Source organism: Homo sapiens, chromosome 11 (genome assembly GCF_000001405.40).
Source record: "Homo sapiens chromosome 11, GRCh38.p14 Primary Assembly".
Taxonomy (NCBI): Eukaryota; Metazoa; Chordata; class Mammalia; order Primates; family Hominidae; genus Homo; species Homo sapiens.
The window spans coordinates 126,392,098-126,417,524 of record NC_000011.10 but is presented as its reverse complement, the minus strand read 5'-3'; the positions used below and the strand labels follow the sequence as shown (position 1 = coordinate 126,417,524).

Sequence of the window (25,427 nt, the reverse complement as noted above, 5' to 3'; positions counted from 1 at the left end):
TTACACTCTACAAAATGTTTTTATGATCATTTTCCCATTAGGTCTTTAAAACCTCATTGTGAGAGAGACATGCATGATCACTGCTTTGCAGATGGAGAAGCAGAGGTTTACTCGGCTAAACGACAGAGCAGGGAGTTGAACTCACGGTCCAACTGTCCCTATTTGGTGTGCATCGCACCTTACTGTCTCCCACAAAAACCTGTTCCAAGCTCAAACTCCTCGTAGGCTAGGCAGCCTCTGGAGGAAAGCAACGGAATGCATTTGTGTCCTTGGAAAATGTAAATAAAATCCTTGGCATCCAAAATTAAGGCACACCATGTGATGTGAACACAGAGTAACATTTATAAGTGTTCCCGCACTAGAGACCTTGACTCTTATCCTGCCCAGCAAGGTGACGAAGCGGGGAGTCCCTTCTCTCCTCCGGGCCTCAGTTTCCCCTCTGTGGACTTCCAGGATCTAAATTCGATGGGACAGAGCTCTTCCACTCCCTCGCAACCTAAGGCAGTTTCACCCCAGCCTCTGCGATGAACCCAAAGCAGGTGGCATGACCGAGGCCCAGCGAGAGTTCGGAGGGGCGCGGCCCCCTAGTCCGCCCAGCCTCCCCTGAGCCGTCGCCAAGCCTTGAGCCGCTTGCCAGGGAGGGGCCGGCCTCGCCTGAGGCGGGGCGCCGGGGCCAGCATCCCGAAAAGCGCGGGGAGGAGGCCGTCAACCTGGACGAAGCGCGACAGGCCCTGCGAGATTCCGGGCGGGTTCCCACGGCCGCGAGGGTCGGCGCGGCGCCCATGCGGACAACGCTTGCACGGCCCTGACGCCAGGGCGGGGCGAGCTACATCAGTAGCTCCTCCCTCCCCTGCCCTGCCCGCCCCTCCGGAGAGGAAACTGCGCGTGCGCCTAATTGACGCCGCTGAAGGACACTGGGGCTTAGCGCAGGCTTTACACGCAGGCCGTAGAGTCAAGAGGCCCGTGCGATGATCCTGCTGTCCCCAGCAGCCTGGGTGAGACCCAGGAATCTCTATTCCCAAGTCTCCCTAGGTAATTCTGAGACAAGCGGTTCTCCTTAGCTGGACCCACCCTTTTGTTGCAGAGAAATGACTGGCCCACGTTCTTACAGAAAAAGGCGACAGAGGCTGGTGGAGAACCCAGATCTCCTGACTTGCCCTCAAGCACGTGCCCTACTGTGCTCTTTCCCCTCCTCATTTCCAGGGTATGGTTTAATCAGTCCCAGGCAGGCTGGCAGGCAGTTCATTCCCGTTGGTTGGGCTAATTGAAGACTGAAAGTCCCTTTCCCAGAAAACCAAAGAACCCCATCCAACAGCCCCACATCAAAGCCCCATTCTCAGCTCCGACCCTTGGCCAGTATTGCCTCAATCTGCGTAGGATGTTGGGCACCCTGGAGAAAGCTATCCCCACCCCCCCAAGCAAACAATGGTCTATTTGGGTATACACACACCCCGCATTCACAGTCTTCTCAGTATGTGAGCAGGAAGGACTGTCCGCACACAGAATCACAAACAACCCACCAAGAATGTAAAATGCTCCCATATCTACATGTGTGCGTGTGTGGAGTTTAGACGGGTCTGACCCACCCCTGTGTGCCGGATTCTAGCTTGAGTTTAGGCACGTTCAGTAACAGGCAGTGGCCTCAGTCCAGGCCAGCTGGATCATGTATGCAGACAGCCATTCTCAATGGCCCCGGATGGGAAAACGGACACTCCCTTGCATCTCCACATGAGCGGCAGCTGGGGACGCATCGGGGTGAGCAGAGTTGAGATCCCCACACGCTCACAACCCCTGCTGTCTGCAAGCTCGCTCCCCAGGACACAGCCTTCAAGACAAAGTTTGCCCGTGTGGAGGGGAGTGGGCTTGGGGCTGCAGATGCTGGGGCTCTACTCGCTCTCAGAACCCCCCTCTCCCCTGGCAAAGCAGCCAGGCTGCTGAGAGAGCAGCCCTTCTGTTCCCTGGGAGGGTCCTTGGGGCCATTCTGGGGGATGAAGTGGGTGTCCACAAGGCCATTCCAACGCTCTGTGGAGAACCATGTCATCTTCCTCTGTTCCTCCCAAACTGCTGCCCCTCTTTATCTGTCCTGTCCCAGCCTGGCTTGTCTCAAAACCTCAAGGCCGCAACTCTTTCCGAGAAAGCCAGGAATACAGCTGCCAGTTCCATTCCCCAAGTGGGGAGTTCCAACTCTCCCTCCTGGCTCCAGATGTAAAGGAACAGCTGTGGGGTGGCAGGAAGCCCAGTTGGCAGCTAAGCAGGATCTGGGAAGATGGAGAACGAAGGCGGGAGAGACAGGCAAACGGCAGGATTGTTAGGATGCTAAAGACCTAGGAAAGAAGCCGTTTCATCCCCTGGCCCAGCAACTGGCTGTTAGGCCTTGCCAAATCCCTTCCACACTGCCCTCCAGGCCTGCCCATCCCATCCTGGCAGCCTGGGCCGCTGGCAAGACCTTCCATAAACTCCATTTTCTGGTTCCCACTTAATCTGAGAAGGGAAACTTGGCTTTCTTTGTCTGACCCCACCCCTGTCCTTAAAACACATACCTCCCAAGCATGAGATTTGGGTAACTGAAGAATGGTGGGGAAGAGAGGAAGGAAGGTGGGAGAGGACTCTGGCACTCTCGTCTGGCATCCTCCAGCCCCTCCCTCCTCTGGGCAGTAACCCAGGGTGCCGGGTGCCAGGCTGGGTGCCTGCAGACGGGTGCTGTGAGCACCACTCACTCTCCTGCTATGCCAGGGTGATAATGCATGACCGGGCACCCAACACTGGACTCAATAAGTCATTATTTCCTGAGTGACCATGCCCTGCTCTGGTCTAACAAGCCTGCCCACTGCCACACCCTGTCCCATGCCTTCCCCCACCTGAAAGGACACAGGACATCACAACTGCTTCCGTTTTAGGAAAAATAGTTTAATGGTAGGTTTGTAACCTCTTTTCTAGATGAGGTCCCCTTCTCGGTGGAACCCCCACACCAGTGCTCTTCCCATGCCTGCTGGGAGGTAGCAGCCCCTCTCTGGAGGGCACCCACCCATTCCCAATGCCCCTGCCCTCCTGGGAGGCCAGTGCCGTGTCTAGGCCTTGGTGGGGCCATCGCTGTAAGTTTTTATAAAAAGTGGGCAGAATTCTCTACTGGCCTCTTTCCTGGATGTGTGGGACCAGCCCACAGCACCTTCCTACCCCTTAATTAAATAGCCCATTAAATAATCTCTTGGTGCTGGCAGAGAGGGGGTGCCACAGCAACGAGCCCCCTGCCCTGGCCGGGCTCCCACGGCTCCAGCGCCCCCACCCTGACTGGATCTCGGCTCCATAAGAGCAGCCAGGGGCATGGCCTCATCTCAGACCTGGCCAGGCCCAGAACTCCCTCCCCAAGAGGGGGTGAGTCCAAGTGGGTCATACTGGCACCAGCCACCCCCACAGCCACGCATGGGGGTCACCCAGACAGCAGAGTAGGCAACCGACAGGCTACAGCTCTTGCCCAGGTCAGAAGGACGTGAGGTTCTTGATAGCTCCCATCTCCAGCATCCGCTTAATGGCCAGGGCCTCTTGGGAGACATTATGGCCTGACCCCTGTGGAGACAGCCAAGGAAATAAACTGAGGGACTCCCAGGGACCTCTCTGTCCCCAGGAAAGTCTCCCTGCCCCTCCCAATGGCCCCACACTTCTTGGGAGCTCCCTTCCCCAGGCTGGCTCTTGGAAGGAAGACAAAGCCCATGTGGCTGAACATGGAGGATGCTGGCCAGGGAGTCCAGGTGCCTCGGTTCCAGTTCTGACTGCGGGAGCCACCTCTGGGTCTCAGCACTGCTCCCACTCACCCAGTGCCCCTCTGACTGTCTGCCCGTCCACGCCCTGGCCCACCATGCTCACAAGCCAGGCACTTACCGCCATGGACTTGAGCGTGATCTGCTCATAGTAGTGAATGGTCTGCTTCTTGTTGTAGGCGTCTGGGTAGCCAAAGCCGGCAATGTGCACCAAGTCACAGAGGTGGAGGGCCAGCGTGATGGCCAACAGGCCCGTGGTGGGCTTCTGAGGAACAGGGGCAGGAGGGTGTTAGTGGGAGCCCTGCTCCTCCCACCATCATCTCTGCCAGCGCTCTGCAGTGGAACTTCCTGCAGTCACGGAAACGTTCTCCATCTGCGCTGTCCAACAAGACAAGCCACGAGCTAACGAGCACGCAAATGGGGCCAGTGCAGCTGAGGAACTGAATTTATTTTATTAAATTTTAATTAATTAAATTGTAAATTTAAATCGCCACATGTGCTGGGTGCAGTAGTGCATATGCCCATAGTTCCAGCAACTCAGGAGGCCGAGGTCAGAGGACTGCTTGAGCCCAGGACTCCTGGGCTGTCGTGCGCTAAGAATGCACCTGTGAAGAGCTGCTGCACTCCAGCCTGGGCAACATAGTGAGACCCCCCCATCTCTAAAAATAAACAAATATAAATAAGTAAATAGCCACATGTGCCTAGCGGCTACCATTCTGGATGGTACAGCTCCACACATCTGGGGGAGGCCTGGGGCCTGTAGAGATAAGACTAACAATCAGAATGACAGCCATCATCATATCAGTTACTTTTTAAACACTATGTGCCAGACACTATGTTTAGTATTTTACCTACCTACTATAAAACATTATCTCATCTAGTCTCACAAAAACACTTGGAGGTAGCTATTATCATCAGCCCCATTTTACAGATGAGAAAACCAAGGCTTACAAAAGCGTTAAGCAACTCATTCAAAGGAAAGGAAGTGTTCTGCCCTCCTCCTTGGAGAACCTGACCTCATTCAGAAGACCTGGGTGCTCTGACATGCACTAACTGTGCGACCCTTTATGGGGGTGGCGCTCTATTTTTTTAAAGAGATGGGGTTTCACCACGTTGCCCAGGCTGATCTCGAACTCCTGGGCTCAAGCGATCCACCCACCTCTGCCTCCCAAAGCGCTGGGATTACAGGCGTGAGCCATGGTGGCTGCCCTCTCCTTTAAAGCAGGACAGCAGTACCTTTCCCATTCACCTTACTGGCTGCTCTGAGAACCTCAGTTGCTCATGCCTAATTCATCCACAGTGACGGGCAGCCTGATATTCTCACTTCTCCAGCCCCGCCTTCCTCCGCTTCAGCAACCTGCTTTGCACACAATTTCAGCTGCCCATACCCATTTGGGAGCCTTTCCTGGACCTCATCAGGCCTGTCGACATGCCAGCTTTCTCCCTCTCTGAGCTCTCCTGTCTTCTCATCTTCCACTCCCTGGCTGGACCTTCTTTTCCACCCTTGTTGCTTTCACCACCAGTGTGTTATCTCATCCAGCTGGGCTGAGCCACACTTCCATGGCCTTCTAGCCAGCTCTGCCTGGACACAGTCTCCTTACACTCACCAAATTCCTCCTCTTCCTTGCACTCTCTCTCTATTAGTTAAATATGTTACCACCCCCCGCCCCCTACCGGCTGTCCAAGCTAGAAACCCAGAATTGGTCAGAAATCTCTCAATTCCACCTGTAAAATATATAAGGCAGAATCGTAAGAGAACCCCAGTGACGCTAACCCTCATGTAATCTCCTCCCTTGCGCGTGTGGGGAGCCCGTGAATATGATGCGATTACGTGACGTTACTTTATATGGCACAGTTGAACACAAAAGGAGAGGCTGTCCTGCTGAGCTTGACCTAATTACCTGAACCTTTAAATCCGGGTGTCAAGATCAGAAACGGAGGTCAGAGATTTGAAGCACAGAAAGGATCTATTGTGCCGTCGCTGGCTTGAAGATGGAGGCTGTACGGTCAAGAAATGTGGGCCACCTCCAAGAGCTGAGCGTGGCCCCCAGCCTCCAGCTGACAGCCAGCAAGGAAATGGGGACCTCAGTTCTACAATCGCAGGAACCGAATTATTTCAACCACAAGAATGAGCCTGGAAGCAAAATTTTCCCCCAAGCTTCCAGATGAGAACTGTCTGGTTGACACACCGAGTCCAGCCTTGTGACACCCTAAACAGAGAACCAGCCACACCCTGCTGTTCTGATCTACAGGACCATGAGCCAGTACATGGGTATTGTTTTAGCCGGCTAAACTTGTGGTATTAGTTAGGGAGCAACAGAAAGCTAATACAGGCCAGGCGCAGTGGCTCACACCTGTAATCCCAGCACTTTGGGAGGCCGAGGCGGGTAGATCACCTAAGGTCAGGAGTTCGAGACCAGCACTCCTGTGTTTTGTATTTTCGTAAAAATACAAAAATTAGCCAGGTGTGGTGGTACATGCCTGTAATCCCAGCTACTTGGGAGGCTGAGGCAGGAGAATCACTTGAACCTGGGAGGCAGAGGTTGCAGTGAGCCAAGATCACCCCACTGCACTCCAGCCTGGGTGACAGAGCAAGACTCCATCTCAAAAAAAAAAACAACCAACACAATGTTGAGTCCATCTCCTCCTTTTCCCTTCCCACTGCCAGGAGCTGGGTTCAGGTCCTCGCCCTCTCTCATCTCCCTCTCCAGCCTCCTCTCCATCTGTAATCCTATGAATGGCATGAAACTCCTTGTTGCCCTTCAACGCCACTTGTACTGGAAACAGTTCAGTGCTGGAGGAGCCGCCTGCTCTGGCCAAATGGAATGCCTTTCCCCAGCTCTCTGCCTGATCCTTCCAGGCCCGGCTCCAGCACCACCTCCTCTGGGGAGCCTCCCAGACATCTCTCAGCAGATGTCTGCCCCTCCTCTGAGATTCCACGGCATTGGGAACAACTCTCCATTGTGGAATTTTATCACCCCACAGTGCAACCTGCATTCTTACTCTGCTAGACTGAGGTCCCTTAGAGCAAGGAGCACAACTTCCTCGCCAAGCAAGAAGACTCGGGGCCTGGCATTGAGCAGTCACAAAAGCAGCCATTCAACACAGAACATGGAATAACAGGAAATGTTCAGTAAACAATAAAATCATTTATTCAAAATCTGGCAAATATTTAAAGGGCAGGCCCTGTGTACCGGTCTCCAGAATAGGTATTTTACATCATTATTATTTTTCAAACTCCTACAACAGCCTTAAAAGGTCATTATGGATATTATCCCACCACACAGGCAAGAAAAACAAGGATCTGAGCAGTTGACCTGCCAAGCCCCACACAGTACACAGCACAGCCAAGCGCCATACCTGTGTCTGCTAGTGCCTGTCTCTCACCATCCCACACGGCCTCCCCGAGGGGCTCCAAGATATGGGTGGAAGTACTTGGGAAGCTACAAAGTGGGTTAAAGCCCACCAGCTGAAGACCACCAGGGCACTGCACTCAAAACCATAACTTGCTATGGCTCAAGGACATCAGGTTAAAAAGAAGAAACACATAACACATAACTTGTGGTCAGACACAGTGCCTTACACCTGTAATCCCGGCATTTTGGGAGGCTGAGACACGAGGATCACTTGAGGCCAGGAGTTCAGGACCAGCCTGGGCAACACAGTGAGACCCCCATCTCTACAAAAAAATTTAAAAATTAGCCAGGCGTGATGGTGCATACCTGTAGTCTCACAGCTACTCAGGAGGCTGAGGCAGAAGGATCACCTGAGCCTGGAAGTTTGAGGTTACAGTGGGCTATGATTGCACCACTGCACCCAATCCTGGGTGGCAGAGTGAGACGCTATCTTTAAAACAAAACAAAAACCCATAACTTGCAAAACTACATTGACTCCCTGAATTGACACACCATACCAAATCATGACATGCAAGACAAACTGTTTAGCTCCAACTCTTATAACTCGTTCAGACTAGTGTTTCAAGATAAGATCACAGATGAAGTATCTAACAGTAACTCTGCATGGCTCAAGTTGTTCCACAGATCAGACCACTGACTGTTCCAGCAGCTCCCCAGTTGACAAATTCTGACCAGCGCCTGCCAAAACCATCCTCTCACACCAGCCCCTAAACCTGATCCAGGCCATCCCCATCCCTCCCCACTTAGTAAATGCCCCTTGGTTCTCTAAAGTGTGCACTCCCCTTTGCAGCAGCAACTTTAATGACAGGTGTGTTCCTGGAGGGAAAATGCAAACCGCCGCCTCTGTTATGGGATCCTTCCAGGGCTTCCTAAGCCCATAGGATCATCCCTCCTACTTCCCGCCCAGGATCCTAGCCCTCAGGCCTGACTTCCCATCATCACCTGCTTAATCTTCCGTGGCTGTTGCATTGGCAGGCTCAGCAGTTTGTCAGCTGCAATCTCCATGAAGAAGGGGTTGAGAATCCGAATCTGTTTAGGATTGACATCCCAGATGAGGGGAGGCTGTTTCCAGAAACCCTTTCGCACCTAGGAGGATGGGGTCAGAAGAGAGAGACAGAAGCGGGTGAAGCCCTGTTTCTCAAATCCAACCCAGTGGTCCTCAGCGAGGCGAGGGGGTCCAAGCGATGGCAGAGGCCTTCAGGAGCACAAGGTGAGAGGAAAGGGAGGTGAAGTCTGTGCCACAGATGGGAGACCAGGAGAGGACCAGGGAAAGAGAGGAGGAAAGGCACCCCCTCGGGAGGCCAGGTGACCAGGTGTATAGAGTGGAGGGTCTAAACCATGGACCACTTCCAAGAACATCCACACAGGTAGAAGGGACTAAAGTTTTAGGCTGTCTAAACACTTGACAAAAATGCCAGATGGGACAGTTCAGCCTGTGACCGGATGGCAAAGTGATGTAGTGAACTCTTTCTGGGGACCATCTGTTTGGACACAGGCCTCATTGCTCTAACCTGCCCTCAGCCTGGAGATGGCTGCTGGAGGGTTGCTCAGCTCCCGAGTTCCTCACAGGCAAACACCTACTCGGAAAGCTTTCCTGTCACAGACACGCCTGGAGCATGGGTGCCTGTGGCTGCTGCCACCTGACGCCTGCAGGCTTTTATACCCAGTTGCTGGGGCAGCTTATCAGAGCACCACCCTTGGAGGGCAGCCTAAGGCGCTGACTTCCGGGAGCCCGGTTCATGCTGTCCCCTCACAGCCTCTTTAGGACTGCCAGGCGGACATCAAGGAGCGTGAGGTCCTGACTCGGGCAGCGTCCCCACCGCCAGGCCTCAGCCCCCAGTCTGTCCCCCAACTTACCCGCTTCTTATCACTCAGGATGGTCTCAATCCAGTGGAAGTCCATTGCCTTGAAAGCTACCAGGACGAGGAGTGTGTCTGGGTTGTTTTCTACTTTGGGGTCGAAGTGGGCAGATTCAGGGTAGAAGAGACGCATGGTGGTCTTGGAGCCCACGTCACCCTCATAGCCAGCCACTGGGGCATTGTTCAATCTGGGGGTTGGGAGGAGGATTCCCATCACTAGAGGCCTCCTGGGCCTGTCTACAGTCCCTGGCTCGGACATCCAGTTCCCAAACAACAGTAGGAAGAGACAGTCACACACACCTGATGACCACATCGTACTTGTTGATGGCATCTCCCAGTGAGCTGTTCCGCAGCCGGTGCCCGTTCCCCACGACCACACAGCGGCGGCACCTGAGGCTGCCATAGAAAGAGGAGTGGTCTATGTCACCCCACACTCTAACCCAGGCTCGCTGCCCTGGATCTGCCTGGGCCCATCTCAGGACCACTTCCTAGGCCCCCTCAGCCCCTGGTCCCCATGAAGCAGGCATCACCCCGTGGTCCTGCTTAGGGTCATGCTGACTTTACAGCCCTGGGCTTTGTAAGAGGAGGAGACTGCGCAGAGCACAGAAGAGGGCAGAGGAGTGGAGGGAAGGCATGGGGGGGTGTATCAATGAGAAACGCCTGCCCCACTGTTGCAATACCCTCGAGCAGCCTCTGCCCACTCTGCACCCAGATGCCCAGGCTAGGCTACCATGAGAATTGGCTGGGATGGTACCAGTCCATGACTGTTTCACAGAGCGGGGGGGTGGGGAGTGGGGGGAGCGGGCAGGGGGCAGGAAATAGGAGAAGGTGCCCAGACTGGAGTCGGAGTGCCGCCTTACCTCTGGATGTTCTTGGGGATGGAGGAGCTGGTGATGGCTAGCACCCGGAGGAGCAGATCCTCTACAAAAAGTACCAGGCGGAGGGACTGATGTGACAGATAGCATTCTGAAGGCTGCCTGCCCTCCCTCCACTGCTCCTCAGAGCGCTGGCTGCCTTCTTCTTCCCCTGACCCTGGTACCCGAGTCAGGCTCAGAACTTGGGCACTGGGGCCGTGGACGGCAGAGAATAGGAAGCAACGTGGTCAGGGTGAGCCCATGGTTCCCACGAGCCGGGTAGGAACTTACCACTCCCCTTGGTCCCATAGGGCAGCTCGTAAGCAGATGGCGTCTTGACCCAGAAATAATCCTCAAGCCGCAGGAAGATGGGCTGATCCCGGGAGTAGCTGCACAGAGGTGAAAGCCGGGTGGGGATGAGAACAGAATTAATCTTGATGCCAGAAGTAGGGTTAGGCCCATGACTAATATTATAAGGCCTTCTCTTCCCTCCCTGGCTTCACCTAACCCATGTCCACCAACACAGCTGCTCTTTCCATCTACTCCCCACACTGTGAAACCCTCAATCCCAGCTCGCTCCATGCCCTGCTCTACCCTCCTCATCCTTAAGTACTTACTTGCCAAAGAGCTTAGAGGCCTTGCTCTCTGCCTCACCCTGGAGGCACGGCTCCTTCTTCTCTGGGATGGGAAAATAAAAACTGGAGAGAAAAAAGGACAGGAGGCAGAAGCCCCAGTCAGACCCAGGGACCCATGTTCCAGGCAGCCTAAGCCTTCTCCCACGGCATGAAGGTCCCAAGGTGCCGGGGAGGAATCATCTCAAGTTAAGTTCCACTTGGAACCCAAGTCCTTGAGGATCCAGGTCTTCCTGCCCCTGCACTCCCTGGGTGAGGGCCCAGTGAGACATCCCAGGCCCTACCCCCACCCACCCTCATGGAAACACTCCGTACCAGCAGCTGAAGGGATGAGGTCATGTGCCGGCTCTTGGAACCTTCCTGCCCTACTAGGTCCCCCGCTCCATGATGCTCCATCCCTAAGCCCTGTCCCTGACAAGAGCCACTGGAAGGACATGGAAGGTGAACTCACAGCTCGATGTACCTGTCTTCCCGGGAGATGGAATACCACACCATGACGACCAGGACCAGAGCCAACATGGCCAGGAGCTTCCAGCCTGCAGGACACATGCAGAGAGGAGCTAGAGGCAGCAACAGGCAGGTACAACCCCCGTCCACCTTCCCACCTGCCCCCTTCTGAGTCCCTCCGACCCCTAACTCAACAGAAGCAGTCTCTGGCCCTCTCCTGGCCCTGGCTGAGGGCTTGACCCTGATTGTACCCACTGTCCTTCAAGATGAAGAGAAGGGCCCCTGGCTCCCTGTCTGTCCCTCCACAGCCCCCAGAGGTCCCAGGATCCTGCTGAAGACGGCTTCTGAGGCCTGTCCTCCAGGGTGGGGGAGCCCTCGGATGACACTCACGGGACTTGCTGACCATGTTTCTCAGCAGGCAGCAGGATTCCTGGGGAGAGCTGTCATCCCGGCTGCCTCGGGCCACCTAGGAAATAAGAGCCACAGGTGTCCGGTCAGCTTCACAAACTCTCCTGCCTAGACACTGGAGCAGGACACACCCACTGTCTGCCCCTCCCTTCCACCAGAAAGCAGGAAGCTGCTCCCTGGGGCAATCATCCTGAGGGTGAGTTTTCTCATCCAGGATCCTCCTAACTCCTCCAAGGGCGGCATTAAGGATCCAGGTGAGCCCTGCCACGGAAGGGAAAACCGAGGGTCCAGCCAGGGACTCGGGACTCGGTCCCAAGCCAGGCTGGCCTACTCCAGCCTCTCTGGTGTGGTTCTTCTCACCATCTCCTTCTGCATTTTGACCCAGGAAGGGCCAGCTCCAGGAGGCAGACAGCTACCCCCGCCCACTGTTGAGACAAAAAGTTAGCCAACTCACTGTGTGAGGGCTTGAGTCCTCTTTTACCCAACAGAGGGTCACCTATTCTCCACCATCCAAGGCGTCTCTTGGTCTGGTCACTGCCTGCCTCTCCATCATCAATCCAGCCAAACAGGTTTGCTCAGGTCAGGGGTGGGGAGTGAGGGTGGGGCTATGACATGGTCCTCATGAGGCCTCCTTGATCCCTTCTAGGCCCTGACCAAATGCAAACAGTGCTCACGCCTCCCCACCCAGCCATGGGCTAAGCTCAGGGAGGGAAGGTGTTTAAATGGGGAGCACAGGGAGCTGGGAGGGTCTGGCTGGCCAAAGAGAAGTCAAGAGATGCTTCCAGTAAGGGTGAAGGTAGTAAGGTGAGGACTGTGCATGGGAAGGGGTGAGCTGCTGTTCACCCCTGCACACAAGCAGAGGCTTCCTCACAAGCACCAGCTCAGCCAGGGCCACGCTGCAGTCACTGCAGAAGACATTTCTGTAGCTTCTACAGCCACACAGAGGCACCAGATGCCAAGTGCCAGTTTCTTCCATCCACGCCATGCTTCCTGATGATCTGGATCAGAAGAGTCCTTTGGACCACTTCCTAAAAATACATTTCACGGCCCTTCCCTGGAGACCAGACCACCTTGGTCAGCCTGAGTATGGCCTGGGACAGGCATTTTCACAAACAGCCCATGTGAGTCCGACGGTTGATCAGGAAAGGGAGGCAAGCACTAGTGTTTGTGCACCAGTGGAAACTTTCCATGTTTTCATAGGGGCTGGGGACAGCATCTGGATGAGGCCTGGTCCATTTTACAAACCATTAACCAATGATCCTGAGCCCTGTCCTATGGTGGAGTCAGTGTCCTGCTCCCCAGCGGGCTCATTCCCAGGCTCTGCTCTGAACCCACAAACACTGAAGGATCAGAGTCTTGAGTCAGAGGAGACAGCCAGGCAGGGACCAGGGTCAGACTGCCTCAGGAGAGTCAGAAGCACCATCCCCAAACCCCAGAGGGGATGAAGCCTAGTCCTGTCCAGTAAAGAAAAGTGATCAGTTTGTAATCAGCAGGAGTCCCCAGTTAAAGGTATTGTCCTAGTAACTCCCCCGACAGCTCTTCTGAAAGGGGCGTGCCTTACCTACCCCTCACCCCACAGCAATCTCTGAGTCGTTCCCTACACATGGCCCTCCTCGCCTTCATAGCTTTTCCCATCTGTCATCAGCTTAGTTACTTGTTTTCTTTCTGTCTGTCTCCCCAGTTGGGATATAAGCTCTGTGAGGGTTGGAATTGGGTCTGTCCTGTTCGCAGCTCTAGTCCCACATGTAGCATGCTGCTTGGCACACAGTAGAGTACATCAGAAAGTACTGAATGCATATCAGGTTGGTTACCGTGGACGATCACACCTCCCTCTCTGACCTGCAGTTTCCTTGCTGTCAAACTGAGAAGTCAGCCTATTCCCACTGCTCAAAAAAGGCCAGATCAGTCCCATGGGCATCCCAGAGCCCAGACAAGTGGATTCTTTGGCCCCTTCCAGACCTATAAAATCAGAATCTGCATTTAAACACGATACCCTGGCGATTCATCTATCTGTCCAAGTTTGAGAAGCACTGGTCAAGCCTGATATTCTTGATTATGGCTGAAGAAGAGACTCACCTGAAGTACTTAAACAAAAAAAATTTTTTAAATGAGTATTTGGGTCCCAACACCTAGAAATTCTGGGTTAATTCATCTAGCCCAGCACTGGAATTCGCTGAAGCCCGCTGGGTGATTCTAAAGTGCAGCCAAGGTTGAGAACCACTGGTCTGGATGATCTGTGGGTGACCTGAAAGCACACTTCTCAAACCTCGATGTGCACGCCGTGACTCAGAGGGTGCCAGATGGGGTGCAGGGCAGGCGGGGATTTGCATTCTAACCAGCTCCCTAATGGGGCCTGCTGCATGGCTAGAACTACTCTTTTGAGTTGCAGTGCTCCGAACCAGGATCCCTCCAGCTCTAACATTTCAGGACCTTACGAACTGCAGCCTCTCTCACCCTCCCTGCTCCCTCTCTCCATCTTCCTTGCATGACCAGGGTGCGTTTCATCTTCCTTTGTATTCATAGGTCACAGCATTGGCTGCACAATGCAATGACCTGAGGAGCTTAAACATATAAAGTCTAGGCCCCACTCTCCGAGATGTTTATTTAATTGGTTAGGGGTGGGGCCCAGGCATGAATAGGGAATAGTAAAACAAATCAGCGCCGTACCTCCTCTGTGATTCTAAAATGCAGCCTGGGCGGGAAACACTACAAAGAGCTCATTTCACCTTTTGTGAAAGACAGATACACAGGTATCCTCCAGGGCTGCCTTCCAGGGAAAAACCTTTGGCGTCAGAGGTGAGCAGCGTCAGAGGTGAGCAGCGCTAACCAGTCTTGAACAACAAGACAATTAGCCCTTCTTCGACCTCTTCCCCAGTAAAGTTCTACATTGTCTTGTCTTCATTCCAAAACAGCGTCAGTGTTGCGCTAAGCAAACTGGGCGAGTCTTGGGGCTTGCTGGGCTATACCCAATCAGGAATTTCACGAGCCACGCCCTCCCCTTGTGGGGCTGAGGGTGAGGATTGCTCAGTGGCCCCAGGCATTCCAGGGCTTCCGGGGCTGGCTGCTACCTCAAGACAACATGGCGCCTTTCCCCAGCAGCTCCCCCACATTGCTGGTCTAGCTCTGAGCATAAAGGGCAGGAGCAAAGCCACAGTAGAGTACCTGGGTGGGAAAGCAGGCATCGAATCCACTCATGTCCAAGGGGACCAGCCTCTCACCAAGAGGCCAGCTCACCCGACCTGCTGGGCAAAGGTGCCCCCGGGTAGGAAGACAATCTGCTCTTCTTGGTGCTCTGCCAGGAACCAAGATGTCCCTGGCCGAAGGGAGCTGGTCAGTTCTGCCACAGAACTTACCCAAGGGCAGAACTGGGGGACAAGGTGAAGAAATAAGGCCCAGTGGAGGCAGAAACCATGCCTCCTGCTGCCCCAGCATTCACAGCCTAACACACAGTGAGTACTCAGCAGGTACCCGCCCAACCAAGTGGGGCAGAACTAGATATGCCCCCAGGGGCACAGTATGATGCCCAGCCCCTCAGAGCCCCTGGACCCATAAAAGCGATATGGCTTAATGTTCCGGGGAAGGGGTCTGGGAAGACCAGAGGGGCAGAAGCTCGCGGTTTACTTGCTGGTTCTGTGATCACAAGCGACCACTTACTCTTACTGTCCTCAGTTCTTCTTCTTCTTCTTTTTTTTTTTTTTTTTTCAGACAGTCTTGCTCTATCGCCCAGGCTAAAGTGCAGTGGTGCCATCAGCTTACGGCAACCTCCACCTCCCAGGTTCAAATGATTCTCGTGCCTCAGCCTCCTGAGTAGCTGGGACTACAGGCATGTGTCACCATGCCCGGCTAATTTTTGTATTTTTAGTAGAGATGGGGTTTCTCCATGTTGCCCATGCTGGTGTCCAACTCCTGGCCTCAAGTGATCCACCTACCTTGGCATCCCAAAGTGCTGGGATTGCAGGCATGAGCCACCACGCTCGGCCATCACTGTCCTCAGTTCTGTAGGGAAAACCTGGAGCCCCTGTCTGCCTGCTGTCTACGTCTAGACTCTCCTACCTCCCCTCTTTCCCCCAAATCCTTCCACCTAGACACCAGATCCACCTCACCTTCCCAGAATAGTTCCCAATCAATGACTCCTCTTTTCCCTGTGTCTCCCACCTCTCCTTCTCTATTCTCTGACTTATAAACATGCTCAAGTCTCCTCTTCCTAAAATAAACAGCAAACCTCTCTCTGCTCTATCTCCTCCTCAAGCTACCCCTGCATCTCCCTCCTTCCCTCAGTGATCAAACTTCTTCCCCTCTACTACACCCTCACTTCCTACTCTGTCCCCCGACCCCTATGCCACTCCCTCCACTCTTGTTTTTATTCTGAAATTGCTCTTGCTGAGGCCAATGACCTTCTAATTGCCAAACTTAAGAAAGGTCTATTGTCAGTCTTCACTGCGCTGCTCAGAGGCCTTTGATGTTGTTGGCCATGCCTCCTCCTTGGCTTCTAGGTCAAGGTCAAGATTCCCTTCAGGTTTTCCTCCTGCCTCCGGGACAGTAGGCTCTGCTGCCGGGGCCCACCTTTTTTTTTTTCTTCTTCTTCTTTTTTTTTTTCTGAGAGGGAGTCTCCCTCTGTCACCCAGGCTGGAGTGAAGTGGCACGAACCCACTGGAACCTCTGCCTTGTAGGTTCAAGTGATTCTTGTGCCTCCCTAGTAGCTGGGATACAGGCACCCACCACCATGCCTGGCTAATTTTTGTATGTTTAGTAGAGACGGGGTTTCACCATGTTGGCCAAGCTGGTTTCAAACTCCTGACCTCAAGCGATCCGCCCACCTCAGCCTCCCAAAGTGCTGGGATTACAGGCGTGAGCCACCGAGGGTCCACCCTTTAAATGCTGGCATTCTCGGGGGCACTGTCCTTGAACCTCGCTTCTCCCCTGCCACACATTTTCAGGGGACAAGTTCACTCATTTTCAGAGGTTTAACTACTATTCATACACTGATGATTCGAGCTCTTTATTTTCAGCACTAATTTCTCTTCCACACTCCATCCTAGTATTTCTAATTTTCTAGCTGGATGATCTTAAATTCCTCAAATGGAAGAAGATGTTCAAAGCTGGACTCTCTCCTCACTCCCAACCCCCATATTATCAACCCAGTCTCCCAACACCTCCCTCTTTCATCCCCCCATGGTTACTAAATATTATCAGTTCTACCTCCATTTGCTCATATTCTAGCAAATGCTTGCAAAGCTCCTTACCACAGGCCTGGCATCATAGGTGAAACTGGGGATGTCGGATTTTACAAAACTCAGCCCCAGTGTGAAGGTCACATTGTCTAGACTCTGAGAAATACTTCACAGTGCAGCCCTCCAGCTCCTCTTCCGGAGCCACAGCCTGGTTCCAGATCCCACCCCAAGTTACAGGCTTCCTAACTGGTCTCTTCACCACAACTGTTTCCTCACTCATGCCCCTTCTTCGAAACTGCCAACATGGTATCCTTCTAAGAAATGATATGGATCAAATCACCCTCTTGCTTCACTCACTCCGCACTCCTTACATGAAGCCAAGGTCCCTTAGGTAACCAGGCCCCTTCAGTCTGCGGCCATGAGAACTGCAAACGCATCTCTTACCCTCCTCCCAAGCACACTAAGGGAGCCACCTTTTCCCTCCCACTGTAGCTGCCACATCCCTTTTCCACCTTTATTAAGGTGCCTGCTATGGTTTGAATGTGTTGCCCGAAGTCCAAGTGCTGCAACTTGATCCCCAGTGCAACAGTATAAGCAGGGCCTAATAAAAGGTGTTTAGATCATGGGGCTCTGCTCTCATGGATGGGTTAATGCCATTACTGTGGAACTGGGTTCCTTATAAAAGGCCAGTTAGGTCCCCTCTTGATCTGTCTTGCCATTCCACTCTCCACCATGGGATGATGCAGCAAGAAGGCCCTTGCCAGAGCAGCCCCTTGATCTTGGACTTCCCAGCCTCCAGAACCATGAGCCAAATAAAATTCTATTCATTATAATATACTCAATCTGTGGTATTCTGTTACAGCAGCACAAAATGGACTAAGACAGAAAATTGGTGCCAAGAAGTGGAGAGGGGAGAGGAAAGCAGGGGAGGGGAGGGAAAGGAAGAAAAGAGAGAGAGAGCAGAGAGGAAAGAAGGAAGGGAGGGAGGGAGGCAGGCAGGCAATAAAGCGGGATTAGAAGATCTGTAGGGAAAGTCTGAAACTTCTTAGACTAAGTGGTTGTGATCAGAATGGTGGTAGAAATATCGATCGTGAAGGCCATTCTGATGAGGTCTCAGATATATCTGAAGATTAAGGTACTGGAAACTGGCATAACAGTCATCCTTGTTACAAAGCAGCAAAGAATGTGGCTACATTGTGTCCAGGTCCTCAAACTGTATAGCAGGCAGAACTTAAGAGTGATAAACTAGGCTATTTGGTGGAAGAAATACCTAAGCAGCAAAGCATTTTGGTTGCTGTATGACTTATTTTAACTGTATACTGTAAAACTTGAGAAGAAATAAATAATTTAAAGATGAAACTTATAAATAAAAGCAGGGTTGGGCGCAGTAGCTCACGTCTGTAATCCTAGCACTTTGGGAGGCTGAGGCGGGCGGATCATTTGAGGTCAGGAGTTCGAGACCAGCCTGGCTGACATGATGAAACCCCATCTCTACTAAAAATACAAAAAAATTAGCTGGGTGTGGTGGCACACACCTGAAATCCCAGCTATTAGGGAGGCTAAGGCAGGAGAATGGTTTGAACCCAGGAGACAGAAGTTGCAGTAAACTGAGATCGTGCCACTGAACTCCAGCCTGGGCAACAGAGTGAGACTCCATCTCAAAAAAAAAAAAAAAAAAAAAGAAGGAAAGAAAGAAAGAAATTTATAATGAAAAGCGAAACAGAACTTAGAGACTGGAAGGATTCTGAGACCGGCCCTGTAGTAGAGAATGAAAGAACTTTCAGGAGAGGAAAGCAAGGGTGCAGGCATGTTACCGTTTGATAGTTTAATAAGAATATTAGTATGGACCACTTGATAAGGAGATTAGTATTGGCCAGAGCCACAGTTTGATAAGGAGATTAGTACAATAAGAATGAAGCCAGAGGCTATTCATCAAGAAAATAAGAATGATCCCAAAGGTACTGCAGAGATGACCTGTGATCACAGCTCCGGCAGTGCCAAAATCTGAGGGAAGGAACTATGTCAAAAGCCAGGTCTTGGGAGCCCTCAGGACCTGTGGCTCACTGTCCAGGGCCACCTCAAGTCTCTGCTCCCACATTTGGGCACAGTGCTCCTCTGCCTCCCCAGCCATGGCTTAAATGGGCCCAGGTGCAGCTTGACCTACCATTCTAGAAGGTGCAAGTGGTGAGTCTTGGTGGCATCCCACATGGTCCTAATGCCACCAGAGTACAGAATGCAGGGGCTATGGGCCTGGCTCCCTCCAACTAGATTTCAAAGGATATTGCGGACAGACTCGGGACCCAGGCAGAGACTGGTTGCAGGGTCAGAGCCACCACCAGGGAGCCCCTGTAGGGCAATGCCCAGCAGAACTGTGGAGTCTGAGCTGCTGAGAGTCCCCAGGAAGCCTAGTGGAGCTGTGGGAGTAAGGCCATCCTGACACCCCAGAACTGCAGAGCTACCAGTGTGCAACAGCAACCTGGGGGAGCTGCAAGCATGAGACTCCAACCGGTGAGAGCTGCTGCATGGAATGAGCCCAGCAAGGCCAGGGAAGCAGGGCTGCCGGAGGCCTTGGGGGCCCAAGTCCCTACCCGAGTGTGTCTGGAAGGCAGGACATGGAGTCAAAGAAGATTATTGTCAAGTTGGGATTTGGTATTGTTCCCCCTGCTGGGTTCTGGAGTTGTCTGGACCAGTTGCCCCTTTCTTCTTGCCTATCTCTCCCTTTTGGAATGGAATATCTGTCCTATGCCTGTCCCATCACTGTACTTTGGAAGCAGACAACTTGCTTGATTTCACAGCCCATGACTGGAGGGGAATTTGATTCAGGATGAACCATACCTTGAGTTTTACCCACAGCTGACTTAGATGAGACTGTGGACTTTGGACTTTTAATGTGGTGCTGAAACAAATAAGAATTTGGGATTATAGGTAAGAAGCAAATGTATTCTACATGTGACAAGGACATCCATTTTGGGGACTGGGGCAGAATGCTATGGTTTGAATGTGTCCCTCAAAGTTCATGTGCTAGAAACTTGATCCTAAATGTTAACAATGTTGTGAGGTGGGGTCTCATAAGAGTAGGCCATGAGGGCTCTGTTCTCATGAATGGGTCAAGGGCTCTGTTCTCATGAATGGGTTTAATGCCATTATTACAGGAGTGGGTTCCTTATAAAAGGACAATTAGGCCCCTTCCTGCTCTCTCTCTCCACCTTGCCCTTCTTCCATCCACCATGAGACAATGCAGCAAGAAGACCCTCACCGGATGTGTCCTCTAGATCTTGGACATCCGAGCCTCCAGAACTGTGAGCCAAATAAACTTCTGCTCCTTATAAATTACCTACTTGGTGGTAATGGCAGCACAAAACAGACTAAGATAACATCCTAACCCTCCACATCCCGCTCGCTGGGACCATCCCACTCTGGTAATATCGGGCTGAAATGGTTCCTCTCCTACGAAGGCTTGACTTATACTTCCAAATGACTGATGTTTTGGTTCCCATGAGACGTTGTTTATACCTTAATTTCAGCACTTAGAGGTAACAAAATTTTATATTATACAAGGTTTTCATGTCTTGCCCACTATCCCATGACCTCTGAGATTGGAGACATTTTTATACCAAGAGCCCACCAGAGTTAAGTGTACTATAGAATATGCTTTATGGTACAATGTAACTTTGTGTTATATCATTCTGTGCTTTCCTAGCTTGCCTAAATGACCTCTGTGGTCAGGAACTTCTTTGTATCTCCAGATTCTATTAAACTGCCAAGAATGTAGCAGATGTTTTACAAACATCTGACAAATAAGTAATAACATGTGAATAAAGATGTATTGCATGTTCCACTAACAACTGAAATGTACTGCACGCTCAAAACGCGAAACCAGGATCTCTCAATCTCTGCACCACTGACTTGGAGGGGCCAGAGAGTTCACTGTTGCGGGGTCTGTCTTGTGTATTATGGGGTGTTTAGCAGCCATCTCTGGCCTCTACCTACTAGACACCAGTAGGAAATCCCTCTTCTCAGGTGTGACAAAGTGTTTCCAGACATTTCCAAATGCTGAGGACCACTGTGCTAGACACTTCTAAGGGCTGTGAAAGTGTTAAATATGATCTCGACCCTGTGAGTTCAACACGATAATTACCTCCATTGTAGAGCCAGGGAACTAAGGTGGGAAAGGGGTCAGTAACCGGCCCAGGTTGTACAGCTCGTGAGGAGTGGAGCTGGCACTGGAATTCTGGCTCCTTCAGCCAGAACCTCCACATCCTACGGCTTCTAAAACCATCCCGTGCAGACTGGCTCCCTAGACTCCACGATCCCCGGGATGTCCACCCCTGCCCTACACAGCAATTAGGGGAAGGGGTCTCAAGCACATCCAAGTCCTTCGAAGGCTCCGCACAGTGACGAAGAGCCTGTCGAGCCCCTTCTCAGCCACGCTTCCGCACGAGACACAGTCTCTAGCCCCCACAGCCCTGGTGCTCTCTGGAAGCTCTGCAGTACGTGTTCAAGGCACACAGCTGTATTCATGGGACCACTAATGCCTGCCAGCTGGACACCAGACTTCCATGAATCCGACCATTTTTTGCAGCCACATCCCACCACTGGCATGGACTGACTCTCTCCGCTGTAGGCCAGGTCTCCCGGGCTGCGGACTCCTCTGGCTTCCCTGCCGAACCTCAGCGCGGGCCTGGGCTGTACCTGCTTCCACACATTCCACAGCCTGTCCAGGAGTCAGTCTCCACAGTGTCTGCCAACCCACAGCGATTCCTCTCGGCTTAGTGTCCGCTGCCCACGTTCTAGAGGGGACTCAAGCTGGACTGTGCATTTGACGTCATTAATACAACTGCCAGGTACAGTGAGCGCAGGCTACGGGCTGGGGAGTTCTCCCACAGGGTTAGAATCCACCCGATCAACACTCGGATACAGACGGTCCGCTAATTGCAAGTGCCAAGAACAGACCGGTCATCTGTAAAACTCCTCCTCAGCCCCAAAACCCCATGGACTCTTCTCACTCACGGGGAGAGCCCGGGTCCTTGCTCTGATGCACAGAGACACATGTGCTCTACTGGCCAGCACCTCCTCCCTCCTTGCCAACTCCTCCCAACACAGGCTGCCTGCGTTAGTCTGTTTTCGTGCTGCTGATAAAGACATGCACGAGACTGGGAAATTAATAAAGAAAAAGAAGTTTAATGGACTCACAGTTCCACGTGGCTGGGGAGGCCTGACAATCATGGCAGAAGAAAAAAAGTATATCTTACATGGCAGCAGGCAAGAAAGAAGGACAGCCACGTGAAAAGGGAAACCCCTCATAAAACCATCGGCTCACCTGACACTTACTACCAGGAGAACAACTTGGGGGAGAACACCACCATGATTCAATTATCTCCCACCAGGTCTCTCCCATGACACATGGGAATTATGGGAGCTACAATTCAATATGAGATTTGGGTGGGGACACAGCCAAACCGTATCACTGCCCAACCCACACCAGCCTCACCAGGTCTAGGGGGCTAGCTAGGCATGCTCCCTCCTCTGGGCCTTTGCGATTTATGCTCACTCAGTCTAGAATGCTTTTCTGTAGACATGGGCCTGGCTATCTCTCTCCGTCCAGCTCTTTACTCAGCTTCTCTACTTCCCAGCAACAACTCCACACACCCAACACTGCAGGCCCCCTCCCCTGCTTGCAAAGATGTTTCTCTTGTTTTGCTTGCTGCTGTATCACCCATGTTGACAATAGTGCCCGGCACCCAGCAGGCTCTCAATACAAACGTGTTGAATTAATAAATGGATCTGTTCATCAGATGGCATTGCCCCAGTGCAGGTGGAACAGAGTGGAAGAGGCAGTGACAGTAGGTCAGATATCTTCTGGCCCCTGTGGCACAGCCCCTGGCTGGACGCTGTAGCCTCACCCCATCATTGAACACTGTGATCACAGCACGCCTGGGCACGGGGAGGCTTCCTGGCTCATTAGAGTTGGCAGAGAGCACAGTGAGTAACTGACCAGCTAACTGCCTCAGGGTCATGCATGGGAGGATGGAAACATCTCTCAAGCTGTCTGACCTTAGAGGGAAAGGAGCCAGACAGGCTTCCACCTACAGCAAAAGAAGACTCTCTGTTCCCACCCTCGGGCTCCACAGGCTACCCACCCACCCCCCACCATCCGCCCCTGCAGCCTGGCACTGCAGACTCCTGTACAGAAACATTGTATCACCCGTTTATCAGCTGCCAGTCACAAGACACCAACCACTTGAAAATCATACCCAGGGCAGGGCCCCGTGCCTCATGCCAGTAATCCCAGCACTTTGAGAGGCCGAGGAGGGCAGATTGCTTGAGCTCAGGAGTTCAAGAACAGCCTGGGCATCATGGTGAAACCCCATCTCTATAAAAAATACAAAAATTAGCCGGGCATGGTGGCATGTGCTTGTAATCCCAATTACTTCAGAGGCTGAGGTGGGAGGATCACTTGAGCCCGGGAGGTGGAGGCTGCAGTGAGCTGAGATCAGGCTACTACACTCCAGACCAAGTCAGATCCTGTCTCAAACAAAAAGAAAAGAAAAAAGAAAATCATATCCTGGTGCCTGCCTGAGAGGGGCAGAGGCTTTGAATTCCCTTCTCAGGGTGAAAAAGCTGAAGCCACTGTGACGAGGTGGGAGTCAAGAGAGCAGGGCCAGGCCCAGGATACAGGAGAAATCCAGGGCCTGTGTGGACCTGCCCCAGGTCCTGGTCAGGGGCTCCCGGGCGCTCCTCCCTCCCAGGAGAAGCAATGCACCCACCCCAAGGATCTAAAGCCAAAGGTACCAGTGTCTGGGGCTGGAATCTGGCTTCCCACCAGCACAGCCAATCCCCTGCTTCCAGCACAGCCAGTGCCCTGCCTCCCCTGACCCCAGATGCCTGCTGTGAGAATGGTGGACTGCACCAGCCCCACCACATCCCACTTGGTCACCCCAGTCCCAGGCCACTGAGTATTTGCAATGGGGCCAGTCCACACTGACATGTGCTTTAAGTGGAAAATACACACCGGATTTCAAAGATTTAGTACCCCAAAAAAAGAATAAAATATCACCTTCATTATTTTATGCTCATCCCATGTTGAAATGCCAAGATTTTGGCTATATTGGGTTAAAATATTAAAACGAATTTCACCTATTTTTACTTTTTAAAACCGTGGCTAAATTTAAATGTTTTAAAAGTAATTTAAAATTACATGTGGCTTGTATTTCTGGCTCCCATTCTATTTTGACCGGACACTGTTGGGCTAGAAAATCTCCAGGATTCCTGCTAGCTCACACTTCCTATGACCTGAAGACGGTGGTGTCCACCCTCAAGTGCCTACTGGAAGCACCAGGAGAGTTTATTAAGCTTCATCGGCTCCCAAGGCTCCACTTCAGAAAGGCTAAATTAGGAGGGCTGAGATGCCTGTGGAGGGGTCCCGCTTATTCTGACTCGTTTGACTCTGATGTGCAGTCAAAGCACATCAAAGTCAAAAAGACCTCACTCTCCCCGTCCCCATCCCCCTCCTCCTGAGCCATCTGGGCCCTGGGTATGGAAACACATTCAAGGTGACATTGCTCCCCCGGCCCACACAATCACCTCTACTCTGCCTAAACCCAACCTCTTCTGGACCCCCTGATATCCTGCCCCAGTGCCTGCAAGGGGCGGGCCACCCAGCTACCCACCTCACATACCTTGCCAGCCCACGCAGTTGGGCAGCCATGTTTGAGTTAGCAAGCAGGTCAGATGAAACTGGTTCACCTGAGCCTTCTCTCCTCTGGCCAAGACCTGTGCCCTAGGCACTGGCTACCGAGACTAAACCCTGTCTCTGCTACTTGCAAGGCATGTGACTGCAGACTCTGCCCCGTCTCTATAAAAATAAAAATAAAATTAGCCGGGTGTGGTGGCACACACCTGTAGTCCTAGATACTTGGGAGGCTGAGACAGGAGGACCCCCTGAGTCCAGGAGATCGAGGCTGCAGTAAGCTATGATCGTCCCCCTGCACTCTAGCCTGTCTCAAAAAAAAAAAAAAAAAAGAACAGGAGTTGGTCGTGTTACAAATGTTGAGAGATCTGGAATCAGTGGTTGGGACCCAAGCCCAGACCTCTCTTCCGGCCTCCTCTCCTCCCAGCCACAGTTTCCTCCCTGCATGGGGTTCAGACCACCCAGTCCAGAGAAGCTTCCTCACTCCCCCACATCCAGCTCTGTCACATCATGCTGCTTTATTAACTTTGTGGCAGTTAAACCACACTGTCCCAAGTACCAATTAGACCACGCACTCCCAGCAAGCAGGGACTTCTTATGTCCCATAGTATCTCCAGCACTAAATTTAATGCCTGACACATGGTAGATAACTGACAAATATTTAAATGAATGGAGGTCTGAATTCATCAGCAAACAATAAGATGACTGTGAGCAGCAAGTTGCATCAAGTTAAAACAAGCCAGGCTTATTCTGAAAAGACCTGGGCATCTAAGGCACAAGGGGCTTGCTAGAAGCTCACACTGGGAGCTGGCAGAGCCAGCGCACTTTCTGCCAAATGCATGTCGATGAGCTCACAAGGACCTGCTTTATCCCCAGGCAAATGAAGTGGCTTCTGCAGAACTGGAGGTTGTCATGTCCGACTGATCTTAACCACTTACCAGCTCCATGTCTGCTGCACCATATCAGAACTGATGTCCGACAGTAAACTCTGTGCAGTCCCAGGAGAGCTGCAGGCTTGAGGACACCCTAATACCCAGGAAATCTCCTTCCTTCCTACTTACTTCCTCCTAACGGGGGTCAACCTGAGATGAAACCCCAGGACCAAGCCCCAGGAAGCGCAAGGTACATGTGGCCTCCAGGAGGAGCCAGTGAAAAGGGGTACGGACTCAGGCCCACAGGCCAATCCAGCCTCTGC

At 52.4% G+C, this 25,427-nt stretch overlaps 1 protein-coding gene across 19 annotated transcripts in view, besides 4 other annotated features; it reads right to left on the bottom strand.

The window, feature by feature from the left end:
* Positions 571-740: a silencer, noted in NCBI's record as "silent region_4052". NCBI's record gives its function as "represses an Ori minimal core promoter by ATAC-STARR-seq in GM12878 lymphoblastoid cells {active_cell/tissue: GM12878}" and the evidence as "EXISTENCE:reporter gene assay evidence [ECO:0000049][PMID:35858748]".
* Positions 737-1,031: an enhancer, noted in NCBI's record as "tiled region #5906; HepG2 Activating non-DNase unmatched - State 10:DNaseD, and K562 Activating non-DNase unmatched - State 22:ReprW". NCBI's record gives its function as "activates a minimal TATA promoter and a strong SV40 promoter by Sharpr-MPRA in HepG2 and K562 cells {active_cell/tissue: HepG2 | K562}" and the evidence as "EXISTENCE:reporter gene assay evidence [ECO:0000049][PMID:27701403]".
* Positions 841-970: a silencer, noted in NCBI's record as "silent region_4051". NCBI's record gives its function as "represses an Ori minimal core promoter by ATAC-STARR-seq in GM12878 lymphoblastoid cells {active_cell/tissue: GM12878}" and the evidence as "EXISTENCE:reporter gene assay evidence [ECO:0000049][PMID:35858748]".
* Positions 2,887-25,427, bottom strand: part of ST3GAL4 (ST3 beta-galactoside alpha-2,3-sialyltransferase 4) — a 58,953-nt gene continuing 36,412 nt past the window's right edge. For 8 of the 19 annotated variants that reach the window (NM_001348396.2, NM_001254757.2, NM_001348397.2 and 5 more), the window contains 10 exons: positions 11,354-11,429; positions 10,968-11,052; positions 10,502-10,582; positions 10,176-10,273; positions 9,891-9,951; positions 9,331-9,426; positions 9,029-9,218; positions 8,114-8,257; positions 3,877-4,020; positions 2,887-3,564 (listed from right to left, as the gene is read on the bottom strand). In NM_001348396.2, the coding sequence (NP_001335325.1) occupies positions 3,478-3,564; positions 3,877-4,020; positions 8,114-8,257; positions 9,029-9,218; positions 9,331-9,426; positions 9,891-9,951; positions 10,176-10,273; positions 10,502-10,582; positions 10,968-11,052; positions 11,354-11,429 (1,062 nt within the window). In that variant the 3' untranslated portion in view covers positions 2,887-3,477. Of the gene's footprint in view, positions 3,565-3,876; positions 4,196-8,113; positions 8,258-9,028; positions 9,219-9,330; positions 9,427-9,890; positions 9,952-10,175; positions 10,274-10,501; positions 10,583-10,967; positions 11,439-14,038; positions 14,110-25,170; positions 25,391-25,427 lie in introns of those variants that run through there. The other 11 variants (NM_001348400.2, XM_047427426.1, NM_006278.3 and 8 more) reach the window with 7 other exon arrangements.
* Positions 22,870-23,797: an enhancer, noted in NCBI's record as "H3K27ac-H3K4me1 hESC enhancer chr11:126263623-126264550 (GRCh37/hg19 assembly coordinates)". NCBI's record gives its function as "activates a minimal SCP1, AML or CMV promoter by ChIP-STARR-seq in naive and primed H9 embryonic stem cells {active_cell/tissue: H9 hESC(naive and primed)}" and the evidence as "EXISTENCE:reporter gene assay evidence [ECO:0000049][PMID:30033119]".